The sequence below is a fragment of the Homo sapiens genome, chromosome 1 (assembly GCF_000001405.40).
Source record: "Homo sapiens chromosome 1, GRCh38.p14 Primary Assembly".
In the NCBI taxonomy this organism is placed as follows: Eukaryota; Metazoa; Chordata; class Mammalia; order Primates; family Hominidae; genus Homo; species Homo sapiens.
Window position 1 is genome coordinate 85,988,286 of NC_000001.11, and position 20,857 is coordinate 86,009,142.

General features: G+C 37.0%; 1 protein-coding gene across 22 annotated transcripts in view, besides 1 other annotated feature; it reads right to left on the reverse strand.

The window, feature by feature from the left end:
• COL24A1 (collagen type XXIV alpha 1 chain) overlaps nucleotides 1–20,857 on the reverse strand; it is a 427,752-nt gene that overhangs the window by 259,053 nt on the left and 147,842 nt on the right. For 4 of the 22 annotated variants that reach the window (NR_146340.2, NR_146341.2, NR_146343.1 and 1 more), the window contains one exon: nucleotides 15,783–15,808. The exons of 16 other annotated variants lie outside the window; for them this stretch is intronic. Coding sequence is in view for 2 of the 6 variants with exons in the window: in XM_017000928.3 (XP_016856417.1) it covers nucleotides 15,783–15,821 (39 nt within the window). In the remaining 4 variants the exon portion in view is untranslated. Of the gene's footprint in view, nucleotides 1–15,782; nucleotides 17,171–20,857 lie in introns of those variants that run through there. 2 more of the 22 variants (XM_017000928.3, XM_017000929.3) reach the window with 2 other exon arrangements.
• Nucleotides 4,675–4,754: an enhancer, noted in NCBI's record as "active region_1274". NCBI's record gives its function as "activates an Ori minimal core promoter by ATAC-STARR-seq in GM12878 lymphoblastoid cells {active_cell/tissue: GM12878}" and the evidence as "EXISTENCE:reporter gene assay evidence [ECO:0000049][PMID:35858748]".

Sequence of the window (20,857 nt, forward strand, 5' to 3'; positions counted from 1 at the left end):
TGACCTGTGTTTACTTTAAATTTGCATGAGAATCATGATTTTACTTTTTTGGAAATTATATTAGCAGTCTAAAATACTTGGCTCAAGAAATGAAAAAGAAATAGAAATGGATCACAGTGTTAAATACAATCTATGCTGGGAAAAGGCCTAGAATGTTGCTTTAAAAGTATCAGATTAAAACTCTTGCTGAAATAATTAGAGTGTGATTCATCAAATTATGATTCAATAATTGTAATAAGCTAGTAATTGTGGTTTCATTTTATTGATTTTGTCATAGATTATTTTCCATTGACATTAGTGAAGGAAAAAAGTAAAAGAAGTATAAGAATCAGCATCTTTAAAAGTAAAGAAGGCTGAAATTAAAACGTGAACATCCACAAGAAAAGGTAGTTCAGTGAAGGGATAAGTTGTAATGGGAATAAAAAATATGAAGTAAGATGGAACAGCAAAGTTGTTTCTGGGATATTCATTCTGGAAAGAAAAACAAATAATAAGAAAATGATACCAACGTATCCAGTCTGGATTAGGACACGAATGCCTCGACTCAGATTTAAAGCTTGGATTCTGTGAGGAAAAATATAATTTGGGGACATTTCTGGCAAAAGAAAAAGCAGTGGCAACAGAAAGATGATCACAAGATCAGATTTCTGAATGTTCTGGAATAGTTTAATACAGATATGTTTAATACAAACTTGTTGATTGCTTTACTAATCAAAGAAAATCAGGCTCACCTATGCTATTATTTGTATATATGGCAATTTTTAAAAAACTAGATTCTTTTCCTGATAATTTTACACCCTTTCTCTAGAACACACCTTTTGTTAGTATGTTTTTTTGTGGGGGGGATTTCTTGTGGACTTGAATCAAGACACTTCTAGCTCCTGCTGTAACACTAGCTAGTCTAAAATTGAACTTACTACCTTCTCCATTATGTTCCTCCCTCATCCTCTGTTCACTATTTGAGTGAATGTCACCTTGAGGTAATCCACCAGTTTCCAAGCCAAAAATCTGTATAACAGATTTTTCATATGCTTTGAATACTTTCATATTTTTGATATACTCTGAATACTTATTTTTCCCTCCCCACCACCACCACGACCATCTTCCAATCATTTACTAAGCCCCATCCATTACATCTCCTAATTCACTGTCAGTCTGAACCACTTTTCTACAAACCTCCCTCCACAACCCTAGGGCAAGTCACTTTCTCTATTTTCCTATTGCTTATTCATGTTCCTATCCCCTGTAAAATTCATTTTCACTCCGTAGCCAGACTGATCATTCTATGGAATCTGAGCATGCCACTTTGTTACTGGCCTCAGAATAGAATCCAAATTCTTTAATACACAGTTTACAGGGTCTTTCGTGATTTGGTGGTCTCTATTTATCTCTCTTCTTTACTCTCTACCACCCAGCACTTCAGTCACTGAACAATTTTCATACTCTGATAATATATACTCTCTTTCAATTCTGGGCTTTTGCATATACTGTTTCCCTCACCTTGAATAATGTTCCCTTAAGTTTCCTCACCTAGAACACTTATGTTTTAACTAGACGACTGAATAACATTTTACTTGCAAACTTTTCTTTGACCTCCATACCTTGAATTAGGTTGCTTCTAAGAACTCTCACACCATCCTGGGGTCCTATAAGGTCCCTTAATGTAGTGTTTTGGCTTGTTTTGTTTTCCTAATCAGATTGTAAACTCTTTGAGTGCAGTTTTATGTTATTCACTTCCATATTCTCTGCAACTAGTACAATGCCTGATACACAGTAAGTGCTTAAAAAATGCTTTGTCGTTGTTGTAGTTGCTGCTGTTGAATGACTGGTTTGTTTTTTCTTTTCTTTTCTTTTTTTTTTGAAAGAAAGTACATGTTTCGTGGCTTGTTGTAGCCCCTCAGTACTGGCTTTCAGCCAATTTAGAGCATTTACTCATAGCATCTGCATGGATAAATCAATAAATCCTGTCCATCCTCCAGATAAGCCTGGAACACACTATCACAGCAGTCTCCAACCTTTTTGGCACCAGTTTCATGGAAGACAATTTTTCCATAAGATTGCGGCATGGAGGATAGTTTCGGGATGAAACTGTTCTGCTTCAGATCATCAGGCATTAGACTCTCATAAGGAGCATGCAACCTAGATCCCTCACACGTGCAGTTCACAACAGGGTTCGTGCTCCTATGAGACTCTAATGCTGCCGCTGATCTGACAGGAGGTGAAGCTCAGGCAGTAATGCTTGCTCACCTGCCACTCACTTCCTGCTGTGCAGCCCAGTTCCTAACAGGTCACAAACCAGTACAGGTCCACAGCCCAGGTGTTAGGGGCCCCTGCAGTATCATGCCAGAAAACAAGAAAGCTTTCGAAGGTATCAAAAGTAGAGTCATATTAAAAACGCTTAGTAGGTGCTTGAAGAGGATCCCCTCGGCCAGATATGGGACAATATGAACTTCAACAAGGATAAGAACTACAATGGATTGAAACACATCAAATATGTTTAAGTTCATAAGTTCATAATGATACAACAACAAAAACTGTCCACGTTCAAAGGATGAAAGGAGGCTCACTCATTATCTTGAAACATGGTAAACAAAGGTGAAGAATCAAGAATTTGTTCTGCCTTAGTGTACCACTAGTAACCAAACAGTAGATGAAGGGATGTATTCCAGCCAGTAAGTGAAAAAGAAAGAAGAGGATTAAAAAAATCTCCATTTTGCAATGATACAAATAATCTAATTGATCTAGGCACTGAGCATCAACTATTACTAACATCACACACACAAAAAGAGATCACCAGACATTATGTGCTTCCTGATAAAAGAACAGAATACCACTGATTGTCTTGCCAAAAACAAACCTGAATATGGTAAGGTCTCTATATGTGACTACCAATTTGCAGGAAACACACAGGACCAAGAAACAGGCAGAACTACACCATGAGACTATAATCAGCAAAATCCAGACTGTGGGAAACTACAGATCAAATGATTGGGGAGCTTCAACAACTAAATTTTAAGGGGGAAAACAGGGAATAGAGAGAGAACTTGTAGAGTGAAAGACATAGGAAATAAAACAAATAAGCCTAAATTATAGTTTTTAAAGATGCACACTTGTGTGATAAACTATGTTTTAAAAAGGAGGAACTGCTTACTTTTGGGAGGAGAGCTGGGCTTGTGGTTTCATGGGGCACATAATGGCTTCTGGTGGTAACTGTCAGTTTTAGTCTTGACCTGTGTGGTAGTTACAAGAGTCTGTCTTATAATTGTTTGTGATATACATTTGTTTTGTATAGTTTTATGTGTCTATGTTTTACTTTACAATAAAACGGTAAGAAAAAATTTGCTGGGGTGACTTCTGGGTAAACATGCAACACTGAATATACGTGTGAATCTCTGCTCCTTAAAACGTCATTAAAGTATCAGTGGAGAAATATTAAAAAGACAAAGTGGTAAGGTCAAGGATAATAGAAGAAAAAGATGTCAACACAGCTGATCTCATAGTATAGTCATACAAGCTGAATATTTTAAAATTGAAACTTTATTGAAAAGCTAACAAATATATAAGCACAAGTTTATTTTTTATTTTTTATTTTTATTGGCTTGTATTTATTTATTTATTTTATTATTTTATTATTTTTTATTATACTTTAAGTTTTAGAGTACATGTGCACAATGTGCAGGTTTGTTACATATGTTACATATGTAACAACATGTGCCATGTTGGTGTGCTGCACCCATTAACTCTTCATTTAACACTAGGTATATCTCCTAATGCTATCCCTCTCCACTCCCCCCACCCCACAACAGGCCCCAGTGTGTGATGTTCCCCTTCCTGTGTCCATGTGTTCTCATTGTTCAATTCCCACCTATGAGTGAGAACATGCGGTGTTTGGTTTTTCGTCCTTGCGATAGTTTGCTGAGAATGATGGTTTCCAGCTTCATCCATGTCCCTACAAAGGACATGAACTCATCATTTTTTATGGCTGCATAGTATTCCATGGTGTATATGATAAGCACAAGTTATTAAAAGGAGGAGAAAGATCTCTATTTCCTTCCCACATAGGAGAGCTTAGAACCCTGGCCAAAGAAACTTTTCATTATTTTAAAAATTCATACCTAGATTACTACCAAGTAGAGACCTTGCCTTTTAAATAATACATTTCAATATGTTAAAACCAGAGTTAACTGTATCAACTGAACATTAATGATAACGTACCTATAAAGGAAACCTTTTTTTTAAACACACTCAAAATGTACATCAAATAACATGGACATCTTTGCCAAGTAGCAAAATTTCAGAAAGCTTACAGATTGAAAAATAAAAAGTACGTCATTAGAGTCCATACTTTTCATTTCTAAAAACTACATTAGCATGAAACGATACAGGAAGAAAAGTAAAAACAAAAATCTGATAAAGATGCTCTAATTCATTTTTATAAATTTAAAATAATTTAGAAAACATTAATAAGTCCAAACATTTTCTCTCACAATGTGTTTTACCACCTCAGTTAAGTCATCCTATCAGAATTTAAAATATAATACCTTAGTGAAGGAAAGAAACAGCAGTCTGGCTTCTGGTGTCTTCTTAATAGAACTAGTCTGACCACCAATTTTTACCAAGAAGCAGAAAAAAGAAGTAGTTTTAAAAATAGTATGTGAAAATATGTCTTCTGTTTTCAGACCCTTCACATCTGTTTGCCGTACTGAGAAGAGTGACTCAGCATTCTCTCCAGTAAAAACAAAGTTTTATTATTCTATAATCACTAGAGGCTGGAGACTAATTCACATGCATTTTTTTTTTAAAGCAAAACCTGGGAACCGAAGCACTAGCAGATTCCATTAGTTTCCTGGGAAATCATAAAAGTAAAATATTATCATTCTTATTTGGCAGTAGCCAGAAGCTTGGAAGCTAGAGTGTCCTAACAGAATACATTATATTATGCGCTACATACATTGAGCACTTTAATAGTTTTCCAATAGAAGTGTTAGAGTATCTGTTTTCTATTGAAATATATAGTCCCTCAAGTTAAAAAATGGTAAGTGGATAAACTTATACACATATACACAAACTAATTACAATATATCCATAAAACGAACAGCCTAGATGTGGCAACCTAGACGAATCTCAAATGTCTTATGCTAAGTGAAAGAAGCCAGACAAAAAAAAAAGAGTACATACTATGTGAGTCAGTTTATATAAAGACTTTAGAAAATTCCAATTAATCTCGAGTGACAAAGAGCAGATCAGAAGTAGCATGGAAAGGGAGAAGACAAGAGGAACAGAAATAAAGTATTATATAAAAAGTGAACAAGTAAATTACTGGGTTTGACAGATATGTTCATTATCTTGATCTTGGTGATGGTTTCACAGGTTATACATATGTCAAAAATTATCAAATTGTAAAATTTAAATATAGGCAGCTTATTATATGTCAATTATACCTCAATGAGCCTGTAAAAAGAAAGGTATTTAGTATTGGGTATTTTAGATAACCATATGCTTTATGGTAGGCAACATTTTTTAAGGATTTAAAGATCTTTAGAGAGAATATATAATATATTAGTTGAACTAGTTTTCAGATAAAATCAGTGTTGCTCAGATTTTGGCTTGTTTTAGAGGTAATAGCATGTTAAATTATAATAACAGCTTTAAAACAAATTACATATTTTGGAAAATTGAAACTTTTCTGATATTTTGCAAGGTAGCTTTAAGATGTCCTGTTGTTATAGATAAGAGTGACACTTGGGCCATTTAACTCCCATGGAAAATTTCAATTATTGATTTAATATCCACTGTGCTTTAAATATACAAGAACACAGCATAGTTTGGCTTAAATGTATCTTCTGAGTAGTTTATAAGTCTGAACAAAGTAGAGATGAATATAGCCCTTGGAAAAACAATCATTAAAAAAAGCTAAAAGATAAAATTAATAAAGGCAACATGTAAATTATGAATTCTTGAGGGCAAAGTTATGCAAAGCCTTGGCTGGTGTTGTGTATATATAGTATTATTGAATATATAGTTTATATTCAATAAACATTCAATGGCCTGAATTGATGACCAAATTAAAAATAAATCCTATTTGAATAATAACTTTTTCAATTAGGCAGTTTCAAAGTTATCCTGAAAAAAAAAAAAAAACTAGCCTAGCTTCTACAGACAGGACTGAAATTTTACATATTCAAACGAGTAAGAATGTATGCAGAGGGAGAGAGGTTTTGTAAGAGGATAATTTGGTCTGAGACAAGGATGCAGGTTACACTCACAAGATTTTGTTTTCTAACATTTATGGAAGCACATGTCATGTCAGTAATATGATGAGTCCAGGTAGGAAAGTAATAATAAAAAAGAAAAACATTAAAATAGCCTTTACTGAGTGAGAATAACCTATCCAAAAGTTAATGCCAAAAAAATTTCAAAAGGCAAATGTAATAAATTCACTTTCCCAGTAATCTATAGAAACTAAACTTTAGCACAGGGAAGCATGCAAACTGCAAATGAAGGAAATATTCTGTCTTCTGAGGAAACCACAAACAGAAAATACAGTTTCTTGAAAATGCAAAATAATCCATCTAGGTATCTGCCTCTCCTTCATTTTCTTTTGCTGTTTTAGATCTAAAAGCCATCAAAACCAGGTATTTTCCATCATGATACTGCTGAGAAATTTAGTGACTACTGCTATTCATATATTTTCCCTTCTGTAATTCTATGTATTTGAGCAGAAAATATAGCACAGCTCAATTCCATATGTGCAGCATCCTGAAAACTCAACAGAGAAAATCCACAAAACTACAAAGACAATAAAATTCCTTATGACAAAACATATATTCTGTGTTCCAAATAAGACTTTTGTTTAGATAGTATTTACAGTATTTTTTTTAAAAAAGATTGATTCTTGCTCTGTCAATCAAGCTGGAGTACAGTGGCATGATCACAGGTGTGTGCCACCACGTTCAGCTAATTAAAAAAATTTTTTTTTTTTTAGAGATGTGGTCTCGTTTTGTTGCCCAGGCTGGTCTTGAACTTCTGGCCTCAAGTGATACTCTTGCTTCAGACTCCCAAGTAGCTAAGATTAGAGATACAAGCGATCTGTGCCCAGATATTCACAGTGTTTTTAACATCACTTTTAAGGGAAACTACAAAGTTAGCTGGAAAGTCTACTTTTAGTCTTCTAAAGTCCACATAAAATTATAGTTAAGTTATAATTCAAAAATAAACTATTCTGGCCATTATTTGATATTTAGGTTTGGATAATCCATAGTGACAAAAAGCAGATCCCCCCATGGTACCCTGAGGAGGGAGGGGGGAAGGAGAGGCAGAAAAGAAGGATTACAAATGTAAACAAGAAAATTTGGGGGTTTGATGGGTGTGTTCACTATCCTGATTTTGTTCATTGATATGGTTTGGGTCTGTGTCCCTATGTTGGAGGTGGGGCCTGGTGGGAGGTGACTGAATCATGGGGGCAGATTTCACCCTCAGTGCTGCTCTCATGATACTGAGTGCTTGCAAGATTTGGTTGTTTAGAAGTGTGTGGCACCTCTCCCTTCTCTCTTCCTCCTGCTCCGGCCACGTAAGATGTTTCTGCTTACCCTTTGCCTTCTACCATGGTTGTTAAGTTTCCTGGGGCCTCCCCAACCATGCTTCCTGTACAGCCTGCATAACTGTGAGCCAATTAAACCTCTTTTCTTTATAAATTACTCAGTCTCAGGTATTTCTTTATAGCAGTGCGAGAATGGATGAATACAGTGATGGTTTCACAATTTATACATATGTCAAAAGTTATCAAATTTTACCACATATAACTTTGTTATATGTTAACTATACCTCTATAAAGCTGCAACAAAAAAAGGTAATTGGTATTAGGTGTTTCAGATGCTCCTTTTTGGTAGGCAACAGTTGGTAATAATTCGAAGATCTTTTGAGAGAAAATAGAAATTATTTATTGAACTTGTCCCCAGATAAAATCAGTGGAGCTCAGATTTTGAATTGTTTGAAGGTAACAGCATAACCATTATTTACTGCATATTTTTGGCTAAGTATAATTATAGGTACTCAATATCTATATATCTGTCTCAGAATTCTTATAAATATCTTAAGAATATCAATTCGGCTGAGCACGGTGGCTCACACCTGTAATCCTAGCACTTTGGGAGGCCGAGGCGGGTGGATCACCTGAGGTCAGGAGTTTGAGACCAGCCTGACCAACATGGCATGGTGGTGGGTTCCTGAAATCCCAGCTACTAGGGAGGCTGAGGCAGGAGAATTGCTAGAACCCTGGGGGCGGAGGTTGCAGTGAGCTGAGATGGCGCCACTGCACTCCAGCCTGGGCGACAGAGGGAGACTCCATCTCAAAAAACAAAACAAAACAAAACAAAAAACAAAGAAGAATATAAATTAACTTAGTCAAGACAAGACGTAGTTACTATGTATCAGGCACTGTTCTTGCACTGATCACATACTAGAAAACAAACAAAAAGATTCCTTGGTTTCATAGAATGTATATTCTGGAGACTGTTTATCTCAGAGATTCTCTCCCTTTCAATGTGTGTATGTTTGCAGCATGGAGTGGGAAGTTAGGTGATTAAAAAAGATTTATATTGTTATGAGGAACTGGCATGTCTCAATTACCTACTTTTGTTTTAGATACACAGCTATGGGTCTATGGTCACTCTATGTTGTTTCACATTCTCTCTTTCTTCAAATGGGATATCTTGTTTTCTTTCATATATATATGTGTGTGTGTATATATATATATATGTGTGTGTGTGTGTATATATATATATATATATATATATACCAGTTAGTAGAAATGTATACAGGTACTTAGGCCTCATTGAAAATAATGCATCTTACCCTGAGAACTTGGCCTTAGACATGTAAGCAATAATTGGCCAGTACCTTGGGGTACTTTCCTTTGGAGAAAGGAGAGTGCATTTTCAGCTGTGTAGGTGCCTGCACTATGTTAGGCAAAGGCACGTTTAAAACTGTATAAGTAGCAAGAGGGTATAAGTAGATATTGGGCAATAAAGATGTGAAATGTAGAGGACATGTCTTCAATCTGCTAAAAATCTCTTTGGGGAAACATTATTCCCCATTTCTCAGTCCATGTACTCTCGTCCCCATCCCAGTTTCCAGGGGTGGGAAAATGACCTAAATCTTGCAAATTACAGTATTCCTATTCCATTGCTATTGCAATTGATTGAAAGATGATCATGTGGGCCGGGCGCAGTGACTCACACCTGTAATCCCAGCACTTTGGGAGGCCAACTTGGGTGGATCACAAGGTCAGGAGTTCGAGACCATCCTGGCCAACATGGTGAAACCTCATCTCTACTAAAAATACAAAAATTAGCTGGGTGCGGTGACATGCGCCTGTAGTCCCAACTACTCAGAGGCTGAGGCAGGAGAATCGCTTGAACCCAGAGGCGGAGGTTGCAGTGAGCCAAGATCGCGCCACTGCACTCCAGCCTGGCTACAGAAAAAAAAAAAAAAAGATGATTATGTGGTCAAAGCCTGATTGGCTGGAGTCTCCTAAGAACTTTTGCTAGAGATATAAGGAAAAAAAGAGTGCTTTCTTTTTGCTTAGATTGCTAAATCTGAGGGCAACAGAAGCCTAGAGTTGCCAATGACCACTTTTTCTACAGTGTGTTCCTGTGAATGTAGCCAACAGAGAAATGCCAGGATAAGATTTACAGAGTGTCTTGGTTATATTCATCAAGTTCCTGTACCTAGCCAAGTCTCTAGACACATACACTCCTGGACTTCCTGATTTTATTTGCCAATTCTGATTTTTTTAACTTAAAACTGTTCAAACTGAGTTTCTGTCACTTGCAATGGAAAAAGACCTGACTAAAACATTGAACTATTTGCAGTTTTCTACATACATCTAGCTTCTTCACACATCTGTGCTTTTACAAATGCTGTTTCCTCTGGCTGGAATGCCCTTGCCCTCTGTTTCTACTTGATAAATCCCTACTATTTCTTCAAGTCACTGCTCAAACACCCATGTACTCCATGCCCCTGGTTCTTGCACCACGTAACTTGTTACCCACTCAAATGTAATATGATCTATGAAAACTTTCACAATCCACCTTAGTCAGAATCAGCACTGATTATTTTATATCCATACACAACTCTGTTAATATGGCTAGTTAGCATTATTCATACTATACTGTAATTAAGGGCATGTTTCTCTATTCCAATAAAATGTAAGCTCATGCAGGAAAAGGAATGTATCTGACCCATTTTTGTACCTCCAATATTTAACTTCACATGTCACTGGGAGATAATTCTTCATTGGTCCCTTGCATTTCCACACATTCTGCAAATGAGGTATTGACTTTGCATTATTCCAGTCACTCTCTTCAGAGATTTTTGCATTGCTTCCTGAAGCAAAGGGCAGGAAGGAATGCGTACTGTCCAAGATAACGAGATAATATCTCTCTGGAATACATTATCTTTTCTGACTGCCCATTATAAAAGATTTAGGCTCCTTAAACTTCAGATTCCTCTTATGTAATGCAACCTACCGCATATGCAAGTATCATCTAGCCCTCTTCTTGTCACCCTGTGGGAAGTGGGGCTCAGTGAATCAGTGCAAAAAAGTTGACACTCTGGAAAGTGCTTTTGCCAAGAGTAATAAACTATCTTTTGTCATTGTTCTAGGAGCTTGTGTCTTTTACCAGAATCATTGAAACTGTCAGGCTAAATTGTTGGCTTGCAAATGGAATAAAATCTCCGATTCTGACAATTTTGGTGATGAAGATGGGATACTGATAGAGACATAGCTTTCTGGAGGAGGAAGTATTAGGGCCTCACAGATGATTAACAGGATTTGAGAGAAGCCCATGGGAAATGGCAATGAATATGTAAACCAAATATATGGTCAACCAGGCAATAAATGGTCCTCCACTTTATTGCCTGTTTAGAGGAGGTACTGGGAGAGACAGCTTCAGGCCAAGTACAGGGAAATAAGTTCAAAGGGCAGAAAGACTTCCTCATCAATCTGGTGAACAGTTTCAGGTTTGCAACATTGTAACAACTAGTACTAAGATTCCAGCTGGGGGCAGTGGCTCACACCTGTAGTCCCAGCACTTTGGGAGGCTGAGGTGGGCAGATAGGCAGATAGCTTGACTAGCCTGGGTAACACAATGAAAACCCATCTCTACAAAAATAAAAAATAAAAAACTTAGCTGAGTGTGGTAGTGCATGCCTGTGGTCCAAGCTATTTGAGACGTTGAGGTGGGAGGACTGCTTGAGCCTGGAGGCTGCAGCTGCAGTGGCCGTGATCACGCCACTCTAGCCTGGGTGGGCAACAGAACAAGACCCTGTCTCACTAAAATAAAATAAAGTAAAATAAAATAAAATAAAATAAAAAAGAAAAGAAAAGAAAAAAAAGATTCATCCTGGGTAGGCAGAAGACTCTATCTCCTTGTAGATAATAGTTACAGAGACTCCCATCTACAATGAGTATAAAAGGATGAACATTTGTGACCAGTATGAGCAAAAACCAGGCAAAGAAATAGAACTTTGGTTGGTTCACCTGGGAGATGAGAGGGGGGTCTCATAGTTTTTCACAACACAAGAATTGCAACATTAGCCCACATTGCCTAACCACTGAATATGCTGCCTCTGACATAGCTTGAAATATAAGGTCTTATACAATTTGATGCCAACCTACTTTTACAGCCTTATTTGTCACTCTGTGCCAACACACAAAAAAACTGTATCAGCTAGCCAGTGTCACCCACTCCTGTAAATCCACCATGCATTAACCTAGGTCTCTAGGCTCTGCTTATATGGTTCACTGTGCTTGGAATGCCCTCCTCTTTTCCTGCAATTTATTAATAAACAATCTAATTCAAGGTCCATCATTTCTGTAAACCCTTCCATCTTCTCTATGAACCCTTCTCTATCCTTTCATTTTATGTTAATCTATCTCTACTAACACTGAACTATAACAACTCCTTAATTCTCACATGATGCCTTCACCATTACCTAACAGTTTACATATAGATTTCGTTCTTCCCAACTAGACTAAATTTTCCTAAATTATTGATAACATTTTATTTTTTAATATATCTTACAGTGATTACTAGGCACATATTTGCACATAGCAGAAACCTAATACTTTTTTTATTGACTGATTTAATCACACGTGCTCTTTCAGCATGACTTAAGTGACAATTAAAAACATGAAATTTCTCATCCAAATCCAAGTCATAAAAGATATCAAAGAAGTAAATTGTTTAGGCAAAGGGATTCCATTACATTCTAATCAATTAATACAGCTGGCCACAGTCTAGCTTATTCCAGTTAAGTCCACTGAAGTACTAAAAATGAAGTTTAAAAGCATGCTTTTACTTGATATAGCCAGATTTTTGAAACTCACTTCAGTCTTTGTCTCTAATGAAGACCACCCTGACGGAAAAAGAGGACCCACTGTTTGGCCACTTCTGGCACTGCTGTGATTAGTGGTCTTGATTCATTTTTGTCATAAACAATTGGCTCCATATACCAAGTACATCATCCAAAATTCAAATATTTGGCAATCTCTGTAGCCCAGGGGGCTTAATAGCTGAATCAACAAACATTCCAACCATCCTGCTACCATATAAGAAGGTGCTCTGCTGCCAGAACTGAGAGGATACATGGGATTAGTGCTCAAAACTGATATGACTATGCTTAAAGAAATAGAAATGATTCCTGTAGAGCATTTTCCATATGTTTTTATTAAAAGCAGACAAAAACCAGTATGGAAAAAATAAATCTATGTATTAAGGCAAGTGATGTTTTATCTTGGAACACCTCTAATATTTACAATTCCATGAAAAGCTAAATGCACTGATCTTTTCACTTCATTGTTACAGCATATGCAAGTATCATCACTGTCACATTGCCTAGAATAAGTAAAACATTAAGAAGAGAAAAAAATCTTTGAAGTGGTTTGAAGTCACATTTGCTCAGCTGGTCTTTAATGATGAACAGTTCTCTTCAATGCCAATGGCAAATAGCATTTACAACAAAAACTTCAGAGTACTTTGCTTTCACCAACTCTTATGAAGATTTGAGTTTCCTAACTAGAAGTCACTAGCAAGAAATGGTGGCCAGTCCTGTCCTGCCTTTTTAGTTGAGTAGATGACCATTTGCATGGTATGGTTAAGTTGAGAGGTATGAAAGTTTCTAGTCATCCATAAGTTTTTCCCTGCTCACTAAATGACACCCTAAATTCTTTGATTAATGACATTTTGCATTAGTTTCAGGTTTCTGTTCATTGCTGAAATGTAAATATCCTTGAAAGAGGAATACATTGCAGTTAGCTCATAATCATTTACTGCTGGGACTGAAATATATTTATCAGGTCTTTCCATGAAAACAGGCTTTGATGGGAAGGGCAAATTATAGGGGAAAAAAAAGAGCACACCGATTGTTTGAGATGGAAAAGAACTCATGCCCAAGGGAGGAAATATATATACACACACACACAAAGGAGAGACTAAGAGCCTCAGGAAAAAAAGTTCTTCAACAATTTACAACTTTCTCTGAGGACTGCACTGATTCTAGACTTTCAAGGGATGACCTGATTTTTAAGTTTTAATTTTATCAAACCTAATCAAACCTGATGTCTGGGAAAAAAGACAGACAGAGACAGTAGAGGCTTTGACACGGAATGATAATTGAATATTGACTTCTTGACTATAAGCTCCTGAAGTCAGGACCTAATCTTATTCACCTCTGCACTTTTTTTCTTAGTAATTGACATATATAATAGATATCCCCAAAGATCTGTTGAAAATGAATAATAAGAATTGGATTGTCTAAAGAGGAGCATAAAAGGCAGAGATATTCCCATAGGTGGATCTTTGGGTTCTGATGATCAGCCAATCACTTACATCTCTATGACTGTCAGTCACATTGTGTGTGGGGGGATGTCATAGATTAGTGCCACCATTAAAAACCTAAAAGATTTAGGGGTGGTGGTCCCTATTACAGCATCGCTGAATTCACCAGGCGCACCCCTGCGGAGATCGCATAGATTCTGGAGGGTGACTGTAGACTACCACAGCCCCAGTTACAGCTGCTTTGTCAGATGTAGTATCATTGCTAGAGAAGATTACTAAGTCTTCCCATAAATGGTATATAGTCACCAATTAAGCAAATGTAACTTTTTCCTTTAAAATTAAAAAAGATAATAAAAAACTAGTTTGCATTCATGTAGGATGGACAATAGTCACTTACAGTTTTCCTGTGTTCTCCTGCCTCTGTCATATGATACAGGTTCAGTCTGAAGAGATCTGAACCTTCAGTGAATACCACAGAACATCACCCCAATCCACTACATACGTGATGTCATGCTGATTGAACAAGATGAGCAAGAGATGGCTAGTACAATAGAGAATTTGGCAAGACACATGCACTCAAGATGGTAGGATATACACCCTTCAAAGATTCATAAGCTGGCCAATTTTCTGAAGATTTAGGATCCCAGTGGTTAGGGATATACTTGAATAGCCCCTCTAAGGCAAGAGCAAATTGAGAGTCTTACATACTCCACCACAAAAAAAGGAAAGGCACACCTTTTGGGGTCTAAGGAGCAAACCATTCTATACCTAGGAATACTACTCTAGCCCATATACCAGGTGACACTGTAGGCTGCTAGCTTTGAGCAGCACCCAAAACAGGAAAGGGCAACATCATAAGTCTAGGACATGGTACAATCAGTCCCGCCACTTGCATATTTAATCCAGAAGACCCTTTAGTATTGGAGGTATTATGGTGGGAGAAGATGCAGTATGGAGCCTATGGCAGTTTGCAGTGAGAGAAACAAATGCTGCCTCTGGAATTCTGGAGTAAGGCCATGTCATCTGAAGCAGAAAATACTATGCTTTTTGAGAAACAGTTTTTGGTGTTACTGGAACCTGGTAAAGGAAGGACACTTGACTATGGGACATTAAGTAACCACACACTTAGAACTTGCCATTATGTCCTGGGTTCTGTCAGGCTGCCAAGACATAAATTCAGATGGGCACTAGCAGCAATCCATTATACTGGAGAAATGTTATATACAGAATTGAACCCAAGTGGGACCGGGGGAACAAGTAAGCTGCATTAATAGGTAGCCCAAACCCCAATGTCACCTTCACACTCACTGCAGTTACCTTCTCCTAGCTTATAACTACAGGAATATGTGTTAGGGTGAGAAAATAGCTCCCATATGACTAGCTGGAGGAGGAGAAAAAGCTTCAGCTTGATTTATGGTTGGGTCAGCTTGGTAGGCAGTTCTAGCTGAAAATGGATAGCAACAGCAAAAAAGGTACACTTATGCATACTCTGAATAACAACAGAGAAGAAAAAAGTCATCCTAAGGGGTAGATCTGTGAGCAGTGTACCAGCTCATCATCTTTTGTGTGGCAAGAGAAGTGACCTGAAGTGAGGATATATAGATTCCTCGGCAGTAATCAATGGCATGGCTATCTGGTCAGGGGCCTGGGAGGAAAAAAAAATAGAGGAAGAGAGATCTGAGACAGAGTCACATGACTAGACACATGGGATTAGGCAAAGAGTATAAAGAGTTCGCCCTCACACATTAATGCCCACCAGGAAGCATATACCATGAAGGAGGTTATAAAAAACCAAGTAGACAAAATGACTTGGCCAGTTGACATTAGCCAGCCTTCATCTTTGGTCACTCCCAGATTGGCATGAGTATCAAATGAATGGAGAAGACATGGTAGTAGAGACAGAAGTTATGTATGAGCCCAACAGCATGTACTATCACTTACCAAGGATGTTCCAGCTTCTGCTGCCTCTGAAAGTTCCATTTGTCAGCAAAAAAAGACCAACAAAGTCCACATTATGTCACCATTCCACGAAGAAGGCAACCAGCTACTCGGTGGCAAATTTCTTACATTGGGCACCTTCCAACCTGGAAGTATCAGCAGTTCATCATCACAGAGACAGATATTTATTTGGGTAAGAGTTTGCCTTTCTTGTCTCTAAAGTTCTACTAGCACTACTATCTAGAGGCTTACAGAATGCCTGATCCACAGACATGAAACCTCACAGAACACAGCATCCAAAAATGGAGACCCTCTTTACATTGAAGGAGGGGCAAGGAGTAGGCCCATGATGTAATCCATTAGTTTTAATCCTGCCCAATCTAGAAGCATCCAGCCTCACATAACATTGGAATTTCCTTCTAAAGTTATAATTGATGTGCCAGTTAAAAGAAAATAATGTGAAAAAATGGTGTACTACCCTTTAGAACACAGTGGATTTGTTAAATCACTGACCCATATGGAGTTTTGTCCCAAATAGGATGAACATTTGGGTCTAAAGACCAAGGGGTGGAAGCAGGTATGGTCCTATTTACCATCACTCCCAATGACACACTGTATTCTGTGCTTCCTTCACCACACCCTGAACTCTACAGGGCTGAAGATCTTGTTACCCAAAGTGGGGGGTCTCTCTTGACAGAAGACACAACAAAGGTCTTAATAAACTAAAAATTATGACTGCTACCAGAGCACTTTGGACTTTTTGTCACCAGGTCTGAACAAATAAAAAGAGAAGTCACCACACTGGCATGACTAATTGACCCTGATAAACAGAAGGAAGCAAGACTGCTTCAATCCAATAAAGGCAGGAAGGAATATATGTGAAACTCAGGTGATACACTGGGCACCTTCTTGTACTCCTGTCAAACATACATGCTCTTCAGCAATGAAGGTTTAGGTTGTACTACCAGATAAGCTACCAAGATCTGCTGAGGTGATAGCTGAGGGTGAGGGGAATGTAAAATGGACAGTGAAAGAGTGAGAAAAGTACCAGTTGTGGCTCTGAGAACAACTGGATTGACAGAGGCCACAGTTCATCCTATTAACACAGTCAGATCACGTAAAACAAAAATAAGTTAAGATACAGCAAATCTAAATAACATAATCAATAAGGAAGGGCAAATCACTACATACCAAACTTTGCACCTGATAATAAGAATATACCATCTTGTCAAGAAGACATTGAACATTCACAAAAGGTGAACATATATTAGGTAAAAAAGAAAAAGATCAGTAAGCTCCATAAAGTAAAAAAAAAAAAGTCTCTGATCACCATGCAATGAAACCAGAAATTATTAACAAAATCAAAACTGAAAAAGCTCTCCCACTTGAAAATTTAAAAATTGCCTATTTAAATAATTATTGGGTGAGAAGGGATATACAAATTGAAATGACAAAATACCAAAAAGTAATTTTAATAAACATACTCCATATGGAGTCTACTGAACACATTTAAAGTAATGATCAGAGAAGAAATAACAGACCTTAATAATTTTATGAATAAAAATAAAAGAATAAAAAGAAATTAGAAAAGGAACAAAGCAAGAATATCCCCTCTTATGACTCCTTGTCAACATTATACTGGAAGTCCTAGATAATGCAATATGACAAGAAAAAGAAAAACCATACAGATTGAGAACAAAAATATAAAGCTGCCTTTGTCACAGATGACATGATTGGCTATGCAGAAAAGCAGAAAAAAATGAACAAAATCCTCCTGGAATGAATAAGCAGTTATAGCAAGGTTGTAGGATACAAGGTTAATATACAAAAGTTAACTGACTTCTTGTATACCAAGAACAAACTAATGAAATTTGAAATTAAAAACACAATACAGCACCAACTGTATTAGTTGGTTATTAGCACCAACTAATACTTAGTTATGAACCTAAGAAAATAAGTACAAAATTTATATGAGGAAAACTATAAAATTATGATCAAAGAAATAAAAAAGAAGTAAATTCTTCCCAATGTGATCTATAGATTCAATGCAATACCAAACAAAATCCCATAAGTTATTTGTGGATACTGACAAACAGATTCTAAACTTTATACAGAGAGGCAAAAGACCCAAAACAGCCAACCCAACTTGAAAGAGGACAGAGTTGGAGGACTGATACTACTGGACCTCAAGACTTACTATAAAGCTACAATATTCGAGACAGTGTGGTAATGAAGAAAAAAACAGATAAGTAGATGAGCGGAACAGAATAGAGAACCCAGAAATAGACCCACATAAATACAGTCACCTGATCTTTGACAAAGGAGCGAAGGCAGTACAATGGAGCAAAGATAGTCTTTTCAACAAACGGTGCTGAAATAACTGGACATCTACATGCAAAAAAGAAATGAATTTAGACACAGACCTTACACCTGTCACAAAAATTAACTCAAAATAGATCACAGACCTAATGTAAAATGCAATATTATAAAATCCTAGCAGATAATACAGGAGAAAATCTAGATGACCTTGGGTATGTTGTTTTTAGAAACAACACAAAAGACACAATCCATACTGAACTTCATTAAAATTTAAAACTTCTGCCCTGCAGAAAACAATGTCAAGAGAATAAGAAGACAAACCACAGACGGGAAGAAAATATTTGCAAAAGGCACATCTGATAAAGAACTGTTACCCCAAATATACAAAGAACTCTGAAAACTCAACAATTAAAAAAAACATTAAAAAAAGGCCAAAGACCTTAACAAACACCTCACCAAGGAAGATATACAGATGGTAAATAAGCATATGAACAGATGCTCCACATTATATGTCATTAGGGAACTGCAAATTAAAACAACAATGTGGGCTGGTTCTGGTTGCTCATGACTTTAATCCCAGCACTTTGGGAGGCCAAGGTGTGATGATTGCTTCAGCCCAGGAGTTTGAGACCAGCCTGGGCAACATAGTGAGACCTTGTCTCTACAAATAATAATAATAATAATAGCTGGGCACAGTGGCACATGGCTGTGGTCCTCCCTACTCAGGCGGCTGAGGTGGGAGGATCACTTGAGCCCAGGAGGTTGAGGCGACAGTGAGCCATGGTCACTCTACTGAACTCCGGCCTGAGTGACATAGTGAAACTGTCTCAAAACAAACAAACAAACAAACAAACCCACCACCACCACCACCACCACCAAAACCCAGTGTGGTGCCACTGCACACTCACTAAAATGGCCAAAATCCAGAACACTGACACCAAATGCTGGTGAGGATGTGGAGCAAAAGGAACTCTTATTCATTGCCAGTTGGAATGCAAAATGGCACAGCCACTTTGGAAGACGGAGTTTATTACAAAACTAAACATACTTTTACTGTGTGATCCAGAAGCCACATTCCTTAATTCTACCCAAAGGAGTTGAAAATTTATGTCCACACAAAACCCTGCACATGACTATTTACAGCAGCTTCATAACTGCCAAAACCTGGAAGCAACTAAGATGTCCTTTAGTCGGTGAATGGATAAACTGTGGTATATCCAGACAACAGAATATTATTCAGTGCTAAAAAGAAATGAGCTATGAAGCCATGAAAAAACATGGAGGAACCTTAATTGCATATTAATATGTAAAAGAAGTCAATCTAAAAAGGCTACATACTGTACGATTCCAACTGCCTGACATTCTGGAAAAGGCAAAATTATGAAGACAGTAAAAAGATCAGTGCCCATAGGTTGCTGAGGGCAGGGAAGAGGAGGGATGAACGGGCAGAGCACAAAGGATTTTTAGGGCAGTAAAAATACTCTGTATAATAATATAATGGTAGATCATTATATATTTTTCCAAACCCATAGAAAGTACAACTTCAAGAGTGAACACTAACACTAATGTAAACTATGGACCTTGGGTGATAGTTATGATGTGTCAATGTAGGTTCATCAATTGTAACAAATGTGCCACTCTTGTAGAGGATAATAGGATCACTACAATCAAGTAGAATATATTTCAAGAATGCAAGTTGAGACAATAAAAAATCCATTAATATACCATACACATAGATCCAAACAGAAAAAATACATAATTATCTCCATACATGTAGGAAATATAAAACCTTTAATCAAGTATATATATTTGACAAAATATAATAATGATCCCTGATTTAAAACATTCAAGAAAATATTAATGGATATTTCTTTCTTTTTTTTCAGGGTCTTGCTCTGTGGCCCAGGCTGGAGTGCAGTGGTGTAACCTCGGCTCACCAAAACTTCTGCCTCCTGGGCTCAAGTGTTCCTCCCACCTCAGCCTCCTGAGGAGCTGGGACTATAAATGCACACCACCATGCCAGGCTAATTTTTGTGTCTTTTTTGTAGAGATGGTGTTTTGCCATGCTGCCCAGGCCAGTATTGAACTCCTGGGCTCAAGCAATCCCCGGCCTATTTCTTTAATGTAATAAAATATGAATATTTTAATCTTCATGCCAGCATTTACTTCATGAGGAATCACTATAATGTTTCCACTAACACCAGGAACAGAGCAAGGATGCTCACCACTTCTTTAACATTGTACTAGGGGTATTACAATACAATTAGCCATGAGAATTAACTTAAAGGTTTAAGAAGTGGGAAAGAAGAACTAAAATGATCTCTATTTGAAAATTACATGATAGCATGTCTAGAAAACTCTGGAAAATCAATGGCAAAACGAACTAAAAAAAAAGAAACCATTAAGGTAACCAGATATAAAATTAACATTGAAAAATCAACAGTCTTTGGACACATAAACAAAAATCTATTAGAGAATATAATGGCAGACAAAACCCCTTTTACTATAACAACAAAAAAATAAAATGCTTAAGAAAAAAATTTAACAAAAAATGTGCAAAACCTAAGGAATGTTAACACAAAAATAGATCTGAACAAATGAAAGACAACCGTTGTTGTTGAAAAGACTGAGTCAACATCATAAATATCCCAGGGCTCTCTTAATTTATAAGTGTAAGTTGAAGCCAAGAAAAATACTAACAATATTTTTTAATGAAGCTAGATAGATTGATGTTAAGGTTTATATGGAAAAACAAGAAT